We start from the raw sequence: 15,684 nt of genomic DNA on the forward strand, positions 1-15,684 counted from the left end.
TGTATTACAATTTCTTTATCCATTCATCGTTAACAGACACTTTGGTTGTTTCCAAATCTTCGCAACTGTGAATAATGCTGCATGAACTTGAGAGCGATTTCTGAGATCCTGATTTCATTTCCTTTGAGTATACACCCAGAAGAGGGATAGCTGGGTCACTGGCTTTAGCAACGATTTTTGCAATATCACACCAAAAGCCCAGGCAACCAAAGCAAACCTAGATAAATGGGACTTCATCCAACTAAAATGCTTCTGCACCGCATAGGAAATAATCAACAAAATGAAAAAACAGCCTATAGATTGGGAGAAAATATTTGTGAGCCATATATCTGATAAGGGGTTAATATCCAAAATACATTACGTTCACAGAACTCAGCCAAAATAAATAAATAAAACACCCAGTTAACTAACGGGCAAAGGATGTGAATGGACTTTTTTTTTTTTTCCAGAGGAAGTACAAATTGCCAACAGGTATAAGAAAAGGCGCTCAAAATCACTAATGAACAGGGAAAAGCCACTAGGTATCTCCTCACACCTGCTAGGATGACTGTTATAAAAAAGATAAGCGATAATAAGTGTCGGTGATGTGCGGAGCAAAGGGAACCTTGTACACTGGTGGTGGGAATGCGGACTGGAACAGCCATTATGGAAAACCCTACGGAGGTTCACTCAAAAAGTTAAAAACAGAACTACCAGCCCAGTGTTATCCGTCCTTCGTTAAGTTCAAAGTCACGGTGCCACTTCCTTTCCCATCTAAAGGGGACTGCTCGCGACCCAAGCCAAGGCCCGCAAGTGTGGCTCTCCCTGCGGGGAGAGTAGGGCAGGAGGTGGATTTCCAGGCCAGAGGCTTCCAGGCTGGGCCCGGACCCCACGCCGACCCCGGCCCCGGGGGGGGCTCAGCGACCTCGGCGCCTCCTCAGGCCCCCAGTGAACCTCCGGGGCCCATAAAGGCTCCAGGCCGGCTCCCCGGAGGCCCACCAGCGGGCGTCTGGGCCTCCCTCCGCGCCGCGACCGCCAGGAGGCGCCGCCCGGGAGAGGAAGTCCAGCTGGGCCCGGCCGGGCTTCGGAGGCGCCGCCCGGGAGAGGAAGTCCAGTTGGGCCCGGCCGGGCTTCAGAGGCGCAGGGCGGGAGCCGCCTCGCGCAGGGTCCTCCCCAAGCCGGCGCCAGGCCCTGCCCTCGTCCGGCCCTGCCCTCGTCTGGCCCCGCCCGGGCCGCGAGCACTGGCGGGTTCTGGGTCCTGTGACCGGTCAGGCGGCGTCAGCGGGCGCGGCGGAGGGCTGGCCGGCCTCGGGGGAGTTTCCGCGGCCGCCGGGGGCGCGGCGGCAGAGCGCGAGGCCGGGCAGGGGGCCAGACTCGGAGTCGAGGCGCGCCCGACAGCCGCAGCGCTCATGGCGGGCGGAGGAGCCGGGGACCCCGGCCTGGGGGCGGCCGCCGCCCCAGCGCCCGAGACCCGCGAGCACCTCTTCAAGGTGCTGGTGATCGGCGAGCTTGGCGTGGGCAAGACCAGCATCATCAAGCGCTACGTCCACCAGCTCTTCTCCCAGCACTACCGGGCCACCATCGGGGTGGACTTCGCCCTCAAGGTCCTCAACTGGGACAGCAGGACTCTGGTGCGCCTGCAGCTGTGGGACATCGCGGGTAAGCGCGGCCGCGAGTTTCCCACTCCAGAGCCCCGCCGGGCCGCCTGGCTCCTCTCTGCTTCTTTTCTTTTTCTTTTCTGCCTGAACTCGTCTGCCTGGGTACCTTTAGGAGAAGAGAGAGGCCCAATCCAAGGGCGAGATGCGATGGACGCGGTCGGCTGGACTCGGTGGGGCCCAGAGGATGGGATGGGCAGTAGGAGTTGGAGCAGGTCCTGCACGCCAGAGCTCGCTCTCCTGAAGGGAGGCGAGGAGGCCAGGGGGCCTTTTCCAGAAGTTTGAACTCTGAATAATGCAAGTATATCATACATACACCAGGACTAGTTGAGAAGGCTGCTTTGGAGCGGGCCGGCGCCTCTCAGCCTCAACTCAAGTTCAGAGGGATTGGGTGACTTAACCCGAAGCTGCACTCCTAGTTAGTGACACCACCAAGACCAAAAGCCAGGTTCCTTTCCAGATCATTTTCCACCACCCGCCTTGGCTCTGAGACTGGCCTTTGTGAGGGAAACTCCATTCCTCAAATACTTTGCTCTCATCGGAAGCCGAGGACAGACACTCCGTGAAGATTTGGGAAAGCTTTTCTGAAACCTTACACTCACCCCTTCCTCTCTTGCTAAACCAACACCTAGTCCCATCCCTGGTGCCCTCGCCCCCCCCCGCCCCCCCCCCACTCCTCAATACAGTGTTTCTCTGCCATTTGCTTTCATTTGTTCTGTTTGAGGGGGTACATTTCCCTCTGCTCTGATTTATGAACACTTGAACTTTGCCTGGTGTGGTGGTTGGGAGTGGGCGTTTTAAAGATGATGTTAACTATTGGAAAGTTCATAGAAATGGTACCAAGCCAAGTGCCAGTGGCTCACGCCTGTAATCCCAGCACTTTGGAAGGCCTAGACTGGAGGATCGCATGAGCACAGGAGTTCGAGACCAGCCTGGGCTGTTAGTGAGACCCTGTCTCTACAAAATACATACATACATATATACATACATACATACAAAAAATTAGACAAGTGTGGTCGTGCGTGCCTGTAGTCCCAGCTACTCAGGAGCCTGAGGCAGGAGGATCACTTGACCCTAGGAGAGGTCAAGGCTTCAGTGAGCTGTGTTCTCACTGCTGTACTCCAGCCTGGTCAACAGAGTGAGACCCTATCTCAGAAAAAAAAAAAAAAAGTACGAAAATTACTCTGTTCAATCATTACAGGTGTTAAGAAGCACAGTCTGCAGTACAGCATTAGAATGGGAGCTGGTTTAGGGTTAGAGGACACCTGAGGCCACCCTTCATTCTACAGTCCCTACACTGAAGCCCATGGAGGGTATAGCTACCTGGCTGGTAGCAGAGTGGTTGGGGGGATCACAGGTCTACTGTCTGTCTGCCAGGTAGTGCTCTTGTCATTTATAGCTTGTTACATAAGAAAGAGTAGTAAATAATTGTAACCTATAACTCATTCATTTAAGAGCACATTTCTGTCCCTCAGACAGGAGAATAACTGTATGCAACTCAGTTGCTCAGAAAAAAGGAGTAATCAGCCAGGGACTCAGCTTTTTGTTGTTGTTTTTTGTTACCAAAAACCAAAAGTTCGTTTGAAAAGTCATCTTTGAAGCCAGAAGTTTTTTCGAAACACTTCCTGCCGTTGCACAGAACCCTAATGAGCAGTATTTCTGCTTCTTGACAAAGTCATGGATTCTAAAGGTTGCCTTACCATGTGACGGTCATTCTCCAGGAATCTGCAGCATAGCTGAGGTTTTTCACAAAGATGGTTTTAAAACCTTGCTTACAAGGGTGATTGACCTTGCCTTACTCTTTATGTAAATTATGGCATTTTGTTATTAAACTACGATTGGGTCCCACTGCTGGTAAATCAGTATGAGTAACTAGATTTTTAAGTGTTTATAGTTAGAAACTTGAGAAAGTAAAAGCAGGAGTAAGATACAAATTTTCTTTCTGGTATCACCTCTTCTTTTTTTATTAATCACAGACCTCGAATGACAGGAAGGGGTCATATCTAGTTTTTTATCAGACTCTGATAAACATCTGCCTAGATGGGATATCCTTGTACTTTTCACTAAATCCAAAGCTTGAGTTTTGCCAGGAAGGAAAACAAAAGTTTAAGATCTCCAAAAGGGATTTCTGGATGTTAGATATTGTTTCAACAGGTATTGTTGTCCCATACAGCAAGTACAGACCAGCAATTTACAAAATTAGAGGTAAATTTATAGAAATTATTAGGCTCACATTATAAGTAAGATTTTCAGAGATAGAATTTTAATATCTCTGAATATGAGGGAGAAAAATAGCTTAGTGAGAGACCAAAAACAAAAAAAAAACAAAAAAAACTGTTTTAGAGACCAAAAAAAGCAAAACAAAACAAAAAATCCTTAGCCTAAAGTTTGGAGAGCTACATTACTAACTGTTTGATTTGAATATTTGAGCTACTAGTGAATCTCAGCTCATACCATTTGAATTAAGTAATGATGATGTAATGAAGGCAAACTGATGGCTGCTCCACAAACTTCCCCCAGGGCTAAGCATACTTGCCTTATGTAGTAACAAAGTTGGATCATATTTAATTCTCAAATAATAGAAATATTCTTTGATTGCACAATAGTAGATAGAGCCAGCTACTTGCCATAACTAAGTTAAGGTGTGGTGTTTTTACTAGTTAGGTTTTTTTTTTTTTTTTTTTTTTGGTTGCTTCAGTGAGAGGGCGAGGTAGTGAAGAAATTATGACGAATCTCTATGCTTGAAAGCTGTGGCAAGTATGATAGGCTAGAATTATCAAATGTTTTCTACACATGTAGCTAAGCAGATTCAGCTGAACTCTTCAGGTTAAGAACCACTGTGATCCTCAGATACACAAATCTGTTCTTACGGCATTGAAGGAATCTGGCTTTAAAATACAGATGCAGTTTAGTGCAGTTTTTGTGTTAGACAATTGCCATCTCTTAACTCACACGTACTTTAGGACTGCTGCTCAAAACATAACTGAAATATACTAAAATCTTGAAGTCTTTGATAACACTTTACAGAGATCTTAATAAATGCATACTCAAGATATAGCAAGAGATGTCTCTGATCTTCCTTTTAATGCTCAGTGTAGGTAAAGTAGTATTTGGTTTACTATTATATGCTTATTGCTTATTAGTCACTATAGCATTTTTCAGGCAAATTGAAAGACTGGTCTAGGTTAAATCTTAAAAAAACAAGTTTGTCCATTTAGGTCTAGTATACTTTAGCCTTCATGTATTGACTGAGTGATTTGCTTTTTAGGATCAACATTTTTTAATAAAAATCTGAATGAGTAACTCTCCTTTGGGCCAAAGGACAAATTGGGAACAGTCTGCTCTGAAGTTCATATAAATAATATTTACCCAAGCATAAAATGTGTGCTTGGAAGATATAAACTATATAATTTATGCCTAAACTTATTTTACATTGTTTTGATTCCCATCCAAAATAGAATGTGGATCCTGATTGCCTTGCTGCATCTTATACTTTGTCGATTAGTATACCTAGTAATATCCCTTTGTCTTTTTTTTCACAACTCTCCTATCATCTTTCATGAGCACGAGTAAAAGGAAATACTTGAAATTTACAGATGATTCACAAAAAAAAAAAAAAAAAAGCAACAGTCACTAAAGTTTAACAACTCTTTGTTAACTTCTAGGTTTCTAACTGTTCTTTTACTCATTTGTCACCCCACTCTCTTTTCTAAATTAAAGATATAGTCCAAAGGAATAGTTTATTACCATGTAATTATCTTGAAATCTTACTTTTTCAATTTCCTAATTTAAGACTGTCATATCTTGTTGCTTAGTCTTTTCATATTCAATAATTAAAATATATAAAAATGGAAGTGGTTGGTAATGTGTGCACTGCATTTGAAATTGGAGTCTGAATCATTTCAATGCATATAGTCTTTCTGCAGAATAGCGATTTTGAACAGTTGGCATATCATGTAAGTTTTTATAAATGTCAGCATTATGAGCCAATGAACTATATAATGGTCAGATTTACATCACAATAAAATATGAGCATAATAGTAGGGTTTCATATGTGACCATTTGTTACAGTAAAATTTAGACCTTTGGACTATTACAGTACAGCTTCAGTTAAACCATATGAGGAGTCATCACAAAACAAACCTTAAATTTATGCATTCACGTTTGACCATTGTTTTATTCTTCTTCCATTATTCCCTAAAACAATATATAAAATTATATTGCATTGTAGAGTTTGGAGAAGGAAGAATTTTATATTTTGGGGTATCTTTGCATCTGTGCAGAGAAAATGTGTCAATAAAATGTAGATAAAGCCTGTTGCTCATGTGTTTCAAGAAGAAAGTGTCTTTATCATAGAACAGAGTGATACATCTTAGATGTGCATTGATTGCCAATCATTTTTCCTTCACACTGTAGTCAGTAACTAAGTCAAGGCAACTGCAAGATAGTTCAGAAAGGCTAGCATCCCACTTCTATAGGTGTGTGGGAGTCAGAAGACCTGGATTCTAGTCCTGTCTTCTTTAGTCAGTGCCACTATAATCCTGGCCAAGCATCCATTTTCCTGTTGTTACATCTGTCAGATGAAAAGAAGGGTCTTTCCTATGCCAAAGATTAGTACAATAGCAGATAGTAAGAGAACGCTTTGCAAAGTCCTATATAATGTACAAAGCAGATTTTTCCCAAAGTGTTTGACATAAATTATTTTAAAAGTACAATGACATTTGAAGAACCCTGGAATTGATTCTTCTTGTAACAACACAACCAGTTGTGCCTTTTGTTCTGAAACAGATTTTCATGTATCTACTACTTACAGGGGTGAAATCTTGCATATTGAGTCAGAAGTGGGTATGGGCTAGAGATATGAAGGAGAGATGAGTTGAGAACATGAACTACTTTATCTCATGTCCAGCCCTAATCTATTTGACTAGCATGTTACCCACTGCACTTATCTCCTTCCTGCAGGCTTCATTTCTTCTATTCTTGTCTCTTCTTCCTCTACTTCCAGCTTTATGTTTTCCTTTAGTGCCTCTCTTCTCTTAGACTAAGGGGAGACGAGTCGGAATAAATGACAGACTTTGTAGCTTTAAATATTGTCATATTGGTTTTTATGGAGAATATGTTGTACAGAACATAAAACTAATTCATTATGTACTTAAACCAAATTATCAGACACATCTGCTCTATGGGTCATGGTCTGTATGGATAGCCTTAATCACACCAGGTTATATTGCTGTGGAATGGAAGACATTTGTTCATAGTGTTGCTCTTGGGGTAAAAGGGGTTATACCTAAATGTAGACTCTGTCTGAATTACAAGTTTTTAATTTTTTCTTATATTTATGTCTAGGGCAGGAGCGATTTGGCAACATGACCCGAGTATACTACAAGGAAGCTGTTGGTGCTTTTGTAGTCTTTGATATATCAAGAAGTTCCACATTTGAGGCAGTCTTAAAATGGAAAAGTGATCTGGATAGTAAAGTTCATCTTCCAAATGGCAGCCCTATCCCTGCTGTCCTCTTGGCTAACAAATGTGACCAGAACAAGGACAGTAGCCAGAGTCCTTCCCAGGTGGACCAATTCTGCAAAGAACATGGCTTTGCCGGATGGTTTGAAACCTCTGCAAAGGTGAGATCTGCTTTGCTTATGCATCTTTTGCTTTCTAGCTCATAATTCTGAGCTGTAAATGTAAAGTATTTAGATATATTTATGTGAGTGGTGTTTGAAAGTCTGGAAAATGAGAAGTGTAGCATGGATGTGTTATAGCTTCTTTCAGTCCACAACAGGACTGCTTTCCAAATTGGCTAATGGCTAATAGAAGGGCAGATTTTCCATCAAAACAAAAAGAATTATTTAGGGCAAAAAGCAAATGACATTTTCTGTGAGTTTGAGTTTTTAACTGAGGTACTTCTCATGCAACTAGAGTGGTTGGGGGTATTGTCAAGCACGAGAATTTTTGGTTTTTACAAAAGGCTAAGTGAATAGGAAGATGCCTCTGGTGAAGATGTGTGTCACATGCAGGACCATGTGAAAAGATCAGAGAGGAGATTTATTCAGATGATGTTTGAAGAGTTTTAGGTTAACTGTGTACGAAAGATTTGAAACAGCCAGAAAGTATCAACATTTGTGGTATGCTTCATAAACAGTAGAGTGAGAATTTTTTCTTTTGTCTATTATGGAAAGCTGAATAAAATATTTTCTGAAGGAAAAAATAAAACACTCAGTTGACTTTCAAAAATCTTAACAGTCTAGTGACCAGGCACGGTGGCTCATGCCTGTAATCCTAGCAGTCTGGGAGGCCGAGGCAGATGGATCGGGCAGATCGCTTGAACTGGGAGTTCGAGACCAGCCTGGGCAACGTGGCGAAACCCTGTCTCTGCCAAAAATACACAAAGTAGCTGAGCATGGTGGTGCATGCCTGTGGTCCTAGCTTCTCGGGAGGCTAAGGCAGGAGGATCACTTGAGTCTGGGAGGCAGAGGTTGCAGTGAGCCGAGATCATGCCACTGCACTCCAGCCTGGGTGACAAAGTGAGACCCCATCTCAAAAAAAAAAAAATCTTAATAGTCTAGATATAGAAAAAAGGTGAAAATTATACATATATAAAATGTTTGGGGGGGGGGTTACGTGCATTGGAACTTTCACATAAGGGGGTTAGTGACAATCAGATTTATGTAAGAATGATGAAATGTTTGAAAAATTCTGTGATGACAGATAAACATTATACCATAAATTTGTTGAAATCATAACACAGTTCTAGCTTTTAGTTTATGTTCTGTGGATTTCTTGTGTGTGTTTACGGGTGTTTTTATATATGTATGTATGTATGATTGTTCCTCCAAATCACCCACCTCATTCTGGATATTTACTAATCAGATTAGGTTTAGCTCTACTAGAAACTTACCCTTAGAGTGAAAAACTACTTGATGCCAATGATGATCTGCGGGATAAAAGCGAAGCAATGAGAGACTGCACAAAAGGAGACCGCTCCAAAAATATTGCGCAATGATGGAGTCACTGGGAAAAAAAAGACTGTCTACTGCAGGCAGAAATGTACACTCCTAAGCTAGAGGCTAATTGTTTGAATAAATATAGCATCTTAAAATTTCCTTTCATAAATAAAACATAGTGATAGAAGAAAGATGAAGCCCAGGAGTGCTATGTGAGCACTTAATCTGACACGAAGGAGAAAATCACAGAAAGAAAGCCTTCTTATAGAGAAGTCACCTCATTCTCCCAAGAAGCTAGGACCACAGGCATGTGCCACCATGCCCAGCTACTTTTTGCATTTTTAGTAGAGACAGAATTTTGCCGTGTTGCCCAGGCTGGACTCAAACTCCTGAGCTGGAGTGATCTGCCTGCCTCAGCCTCCCAAAGCACTAGGATTACAGGCGTGTTCTTCTGGACACTCATGCCCTCTGTCTGCTCTGTATGCCTATTGGGTGATTTGCTCTACTTGCCAGCTTTGCTGTAAAAAGACGAAAAAAAAAAAAGGGGCAGTAAGTATAACTGCTTATGCGAGTGTGCATTTTGGTGGAGGAGTTTTATAAATGATAGACAAAATTCCCCTTTAGGCTCTATTTAATCTTTCAGATAGTAAATCCAGATTTGCCCCCAGATGTAAGACGTCATGTGACTAGTAGCTTGTGACTGTGTAAGTCATCGGTTTCACTTTATGTATGGATAGGATTACACGCAGAGGTGAAAGGTGAAACGCTGGTTAAGAGTACAAGTTTCAAGTTTGCTCTGTGCTTCCATACAAATATAATAGAAGCAGCTTCTGTAGAATTTCCTTAGCAGTAAACCAGACGTGTTCCAAGAGAATAACAGTAATAAAAAAATTTAGGTTAAAAATCTTAGAGTTAAGGCTTAAAGTACTGCCTAAATGTCACTAAGGTACACTTCTGAGCTGGCCTGCAGCTAACTTCAGATCTGACTTTTGCTTGAATTGCAGTCATCCGAATTTCACTAGGAACATAGGCAAAAGATAACTTTTGCAAATAAATTTCATCATTTCACCTTTATGGCAAATAATGGATTTCTAATATGAAACTTTAATAATATTAACATATGGGAATTACATTAACATGTGACTAGTTACACTATCATTGGAATTTTAACCAACTGCTTCCAAATACAGTTAGAGAATTTTATAATTATTTGATATAATGGGGATAGCTGGGACTGAATGTCACTTGGACATTCAAAAGATCAATACTTGAATTAAAGTTAACACTTATCTTGGGAGTGGAGGTAAAAAATAAATAAAAAGCTTGTTTCAGTGCTATGAAAGATGCCTGTAAATAGCACAGCTGTTTTAGGTTTCTTGTTGTCTGAGAAAGGGTTTACAAATAAGGAAAAAGGCTACAATGAACCTCATAGCATTGGATTGGATTAGACATTAATATGAGCTTCAGGTTTCATATGTGTGTGTGTGTAAGAGTATATGCATATATATATGTGAGTGTGTATAGATATATGTATGTACACACACATATGTGTAAACAGATAAAGAAGTTGATACAGATGCATGTGTGTATACATACGTTTATTTACTAGCCATACCTGCTGAGAGGGCTTAAAAGGAATGACACCACAGAACCAATTAACTTACCTCGTGCTCAAAATTCGGTTTTTAAATATCATTCTCCAGTAAAAAGAATGGGAATCTCTAGAGAAATGCCTGATTTTAGGACGGGTGGAACAAGTCAAGTAAAGATGTGCCTGAGATATTTTGTTGTGCAAGAAACTAAGGAAATGCTTACAAAATGATGGGGACATGTGACAAAGATACAGGATACTGCCATACAAGCTCCAAACATGTAAGACAATTTGAGCAACAAACTAAATAATTACTGTAATGGGTTCAACTTATAGAGTAAACTAATAATCCATGATAAAAATGAACAAATGAATAAAGAAATGGGGGAGAAGGGAACCTCTTTCTTTTTTTATTTTTATTTTTTTATTATACTTTTAAGTTTTAGGGTACATGTGCACAACGTGCAGGTTAGTCACGTATGTATACATGTGTGGAACCTCTTTCTAACAGTAGAATTCCAGCTAATAAATGTAGAAGGAATGGCAGAAATAAAAAAGTCACCATTAAACACCACAGTGATGATTGTTGTAGGGAGGAATTAATTGATGATAACATTAGTGGGGAAAAGTGCGGTGAGAAACAGGATATTTACATATTTGCACTAAGTACAAAGGGAAAAATAATAACTTTTCTGTGGAGAAACATGGCAAAAACAACTTGAAGCAGTGTGCTTCCTGATAAACTGTGCAGGGTACATCACTTGTGTTTTATTTCTGCCAAAAATACATACGTTGAATTTAATGATAAGGAAACATCGAACATCACAGATGGAGGTATATTCACCGGCCAGTGCTCTCTGAGAGTGTCAAGGTCATGAAAAGCAAGGAGAGTGAGGAACTGTTCGAGAGTAAAAGAGACCAGGGCGACAACAGTGAAATATAGCTTATGATCCTGGATCTGAAATAGGGCATTGAGATAATTGATGCAATTTGAGTAAGCTTTTTAGGCTAGCACTGATACAACACTATTATGTAATTTCCTGATTTTGATAGTTGTATTCTGGTTATCTAAGATGTTAACATTTGAGAAATATGTGTGAATGGTAGGAATGTTTACTTTTTTTGCAATGTTTTTGTAAATCCAAAATTATTTAAAAATGAACAGTTAAATATATTTAAAAATAAGCACAGTTTTTGCAATGTGTTACCTACTGTATATTTAATGATAACTTATAATTCAGTCGCACAAATGCTGTGACGGCTAATAATTCCTTAGGGTGTCCTTAATGGACATTGCACTGACAACATTGTTTCAGGCTAATTTATACATGACAACTAAAAGGAATAATTGGTACTTAGAGATGGAAAAATGACATGATACATTTATCACATTTTAATGTTGTTTGAGCCCTTTCAGTTTTTTTCACAGTGTATCCTGACTGCTTGAATTAGATATTCAAGGGCAGGAATTTTTTTATTTGGAATGTCTTCATTATATGAATTGCAGCCCAGAGCAAAGATTCATTTTCAACCGTCGAGATAGCTCATGGAACCTCAGTGGCAAAGGTTTAAGATAGGAACATCAGAAAAGGTGTCCTTCATAAAAATAAGGGAATTCTTTCCATCACCACATTATTCTTTAACATTCAACTCTAAGTGGGCACACACTTTAGTATTAGAGGAAAGTGGCTGTGCACTTGCTGCCACCTCTAACAAATTTTCCTGGTCCCATTCATACTCTTAATGCCTTATTCTAAGAATTAATCCTAAAAATTAATCCCGTTCTTCATTTCTGCATTACAGGATAACATAAACATAGAGGAAGCTGCCCGGTTCCTAGTGGAGAAGATTCTTGTAAACCACCAAAGCTTTCCTAATGAAGAAAACGATGTGGACAAAATTAAGCTAGATCAAGAGACCTTGAGAGCAGAGAACAAATCCCAGTGTTGCTGATATATGGCTTCTGCTTCTCTTGTGTGTGCCTCAGCTCTGAAGAAGTTCCTGAGAATGGGTTACAGATGTCATGTTAGCTGGGAGTCTTCCCACATGTGGCACTTCAAAAGGCAGCACCACTGGGCGCCTGCACTTATTTGAAAATGGAACTTTGGGAGAAGTATCCCTGCTAGTGGCTCTGTAACTTAACAGATGACAATTAGGCTTTTGTCATTGTTGCCATCATATGGAAGATAATGTTTACATCCTTTTAAACATTTTTATATGACAATTCCTCAGGATTTGGTAAGGCTTCCAAGTTGTAGCTTTTAGTGTAAGTGCTGGGGTGGTAATAAAATGTTACCTCCAGTCTTATGGTCATTTTGAGTCTTATTTTTGCCACCTTATTGCATCCTCGCTTTTTAGGGGGGTTTTTAGATTCTATTAGCCACGAAGGCTTGAGGTTTCTCTTTAGCGATTTTCTATTCAAAACTTTGGAAAGGCCAGGTATGGTGGCTCATGCCTATAATTCCAGCACTTTAAGAAGGTGAGGCAGGAAGATCACTTGAGCCCAGAAGTTTGAGGTCACAGTGAGCTATGATTGCACCATGGCACTCCAGCCTGAGCAACAGAGTGAGAACCTCTTTCTTAAAACAAAACAAAGCAAAACAAACAAACGAACCTTTTGAAACTTCGTGTAAAGTTACTTTCCTTACTTATAACTAACTTAACCATTCATAGCTGGTGTGGCATGTGGTCGCTCTTCTTAAATACATTAAAATGACCTTCTTAATGACTGAAAAAGTACTCATAGCACATCTGTATTATGGATGTTTCCTTCTGGATATGGTTACTACCCCTTGGAAACTATATAAATGAGCATTTCTTCTTCTCTCTCCCTAGTCCTTTCTCTCTTCTTCCTGTGTGTTTATGTTCATAACTGAGGGCCTAAGTGATATGATGGTTGCAATTCTTTCTCAAGTCTGTGATAGCAATGGTCAAGGAGAGAAAGTATTTCAAAGCATATACAATTAAATCTGAGCTTCTATAGTATGAATTGTGAAAGACACTAGGTCATGTGTGGTTTTATCTAAGGGTCGGGACATTTAAAGTATAATATCTAAGAAACTTAAGGCAGATTCACAATATCTGCATTACCATTTAAGCCAATTAATGAAAATAATAAATATTTTGACCGAAGTCTTACTTTTGAATTAGTATAATTCTACAATAGAAAGGTAATATGGGATGTACTTTTCTGCCTTAGAAAAATTTGTTAACTTTTGCCTTTTATTTTTAAGGGACTTACTTATATCATGTCCAACTTACTGATTTAAGAAAGGTCCAAACTTACTTCTTTCTTTTATTATTATTATATTATTATTATTATTATTATTATTATTATTATACTTTAAGTTTTAGGGTACATGTGCACAGTGTGCAGGTTAGTTACATATGTATACATGTGCCATGCTGGTGTGCTGCACCCATTAACTCGTCACTTAGCATTAGGTATATCGCCTAATGCTATCCCTCCCCCCTCCCCCAACCCCACAACAGTCCCCAGAGTGTGATGTTCCCCTTCCTGTGTCCATGTGTTCTCATTGCTCAATTCCCATCTATGAGTGAGAACACGCGGTGTTTGGTTTTTTGTCCTTGTGATAGTTTACTGAGAATGATGATTTCCAATTTCATCCACGTCCCTACAAAGGACATGGTGTATTCCATGGTGTATATGTGCCACATTTTCTTAATCCAGTCTATCATTGTTGGACATTTAGGTTGGTTCCAAGTCTTTGGGATTGTGAATAGTGCCGCAATAAACATACGTGTGCATGTGTCTTTATAGCAGCATGATTTATAGTCCTTTGGGTATATACCCAGTAATGGGATGGCTGGGTCAAATTGTATTTCTAGTTCTAGATCCCTGAGGAATCGCCACACTGACTTCCACAATGGTTGAACTAGTTTACAGTCCCACCAACAGTGTAAAAGTGTTCCTATTTCTCCACATCCTCTCCAGCACCTGTTGTTTCCTGACTTTTTAATGATTGTCATTCTAACTGGTGTGAGATAGTATCTCATTGTGGTTTTGATTTGCCTTTCTCTGATGGCCAGTGATGATGAGCATTTTTTCATGTGTCGTTTGGCTGCATAAATGTCTTCTTTTGAGAAGTGTCTGTTCATATCCTTTGCCCACTTGTTGATGGGGTTGTTTGTTTTTTTCTTGTCAATTTGTTTGAGTTCATTGTAGATTCTGGATATTAGCCCTTTGTCAGATGAGTAGGTTGTGAAAATTTTCTCCCATATTGTAGGTTGCCTGTTCACTCTGATGGTAGTTTCTTTTTGCTGTGCAGAAGCTCTTTAGTTTAATTAGATCCCATTTGTCAATTCTGGCTTTTGTTGCCATTGCTTTTGGTGTTTTAGACATGAAGTCCTTGCCCATGCCTATGTCCTGAATGGTAATGCCTAGGTTTTCTTCTAGGGTTTTTATGGTTTTAGGTCTAACGTTTAAGTCTTTAATCCATCTTGAATTAATTTTTGTATAAGGTGTAAGGAAGGGATCCAGTTTCAGCTTTCTACATATGGCTAGCCAGTTTTCCCAGCACCATTTATTAAATAGGGAATCCTTTCCCCATTTCTTGTTTTTGTCAGGTTTGTCAAAGATCAGATAGTTGTAGAAGTGTGGTATTATTTCTGAGGGCTCTGTTCTGTTCCATTGATCTATATCTCTGTTTTCGTACCAGTACCGTGCTGTTTTGGTTACTGTAGCCTTGTAGTATAGTTTGAAGTCAGGTAGCGTGATGCCTCCAGCTTTGTTCTTTTGGCTTAGGATTGACTTGGCAATGTGGGCTCTTTTTTGGTTCCATATGAACTTTAAAGTAGTTTTTTCCAATTCTGTGAAGAAAGTCATTGGTAGCTTGATGGGGATGGCATTGAATCTATAAATTACCTTGGGCAATATGGCCATTTTCACAATATTGATTCTTCCTGCCCATGAGCATGGAATGTTCTTCTATTTGTTTGTATCCTCTTTTATTTCGTTGAGCAGTGGTTTGTAGTTCTCCTTGAAGAGGTCCTTCACGTCCCTTGTAAGTTGGATTCCTAAGTATTTTATTCTCTTTGAAGCAATTGTGAATGGGAGTTCACTCATGATTTGGCTCTCTGTTTGTCTGTTATTGGTGTATAAGAACGCTTGTGATTTTTGTACATTGATTTTGTATCCTGAGACTTTGCTGAAGTTGCTTATCAGCTTAAGGAGATTTTGGGCTGAGACTATGGGGTTTTCTAGATATACAATCATGTCGTCTGCAAACAGGGACAATTTGACTTCCTCTTTTCCTAATTGAATACCCTTTATTTCCTTCTCCTGCTTAATTGCCCTGGCCAGAACTTCCAACTTTCAAATAAAATTGTAAGGGTTTTGTAACACAATCCAAAGCTAATGCAAAATGAGACCTTGACCAAATTTGTTTTATACATTAAGTGAACTTGGATGGGCAAGATTCATTAATTTATTGAGAACAAAAACAAAACCAAAGCCTAGGCTTGGCAAGATCTAATCCCAACACTTTGGTAGGTC

General features: G+C 40.2%; 1 protein-coding gene across 1 annotated transcript, besides 1 other annotated feature; it reads left to right on the plus strand.

The window, feature by feature from the left end:
• Positions 924-1,303: a silencer, noted in NCBI's record as "silent region_17644". NCBI's record gives its function as "represses an Ori minimal core promoter by ATAC-STARR-seq in GM12878 lymphoblastoid cells {active_cell/tissue: GM12878}" and the evidence as "EXISTENCE:reporter gene assay evidence [ECO:0000049][PMID:35858748]".
• Positions 1,350-12,470, plus strand: RAB32 (RAB32, member RAS oncogene family). Its single transcript, NM_006834.5, has 3 exons — positions 1,350-1,638; positions 6,981-7,258; positions 11,973-12,470. Exons 1-3 carry the CDS (start codon positions 1,389-1,391, stop codon positions 12,120-12,122), a joined length of 678 nt encoding a protein of 225 aa, NP_006825.1. The 5' UTR covers positions 1,350-1,388; the 3' UTR covers positions 12,123-12,470.
• Positions 12,471-15,684: the final 3,214 nt, after the last annotated feature.

The sequence above is a fragment of the Homo sapiens genome, chromosome 6, assembly GCF_000001405.40.
Source record: "Homo sapiens chromosome 6, GRCh38.p14 Primary Assembly".
Lineage (NCBI taxonomy): Eukaryota > Metazoa > Chordata > Mammalia > Primates > Hominidae > Homo > Homo sapiens.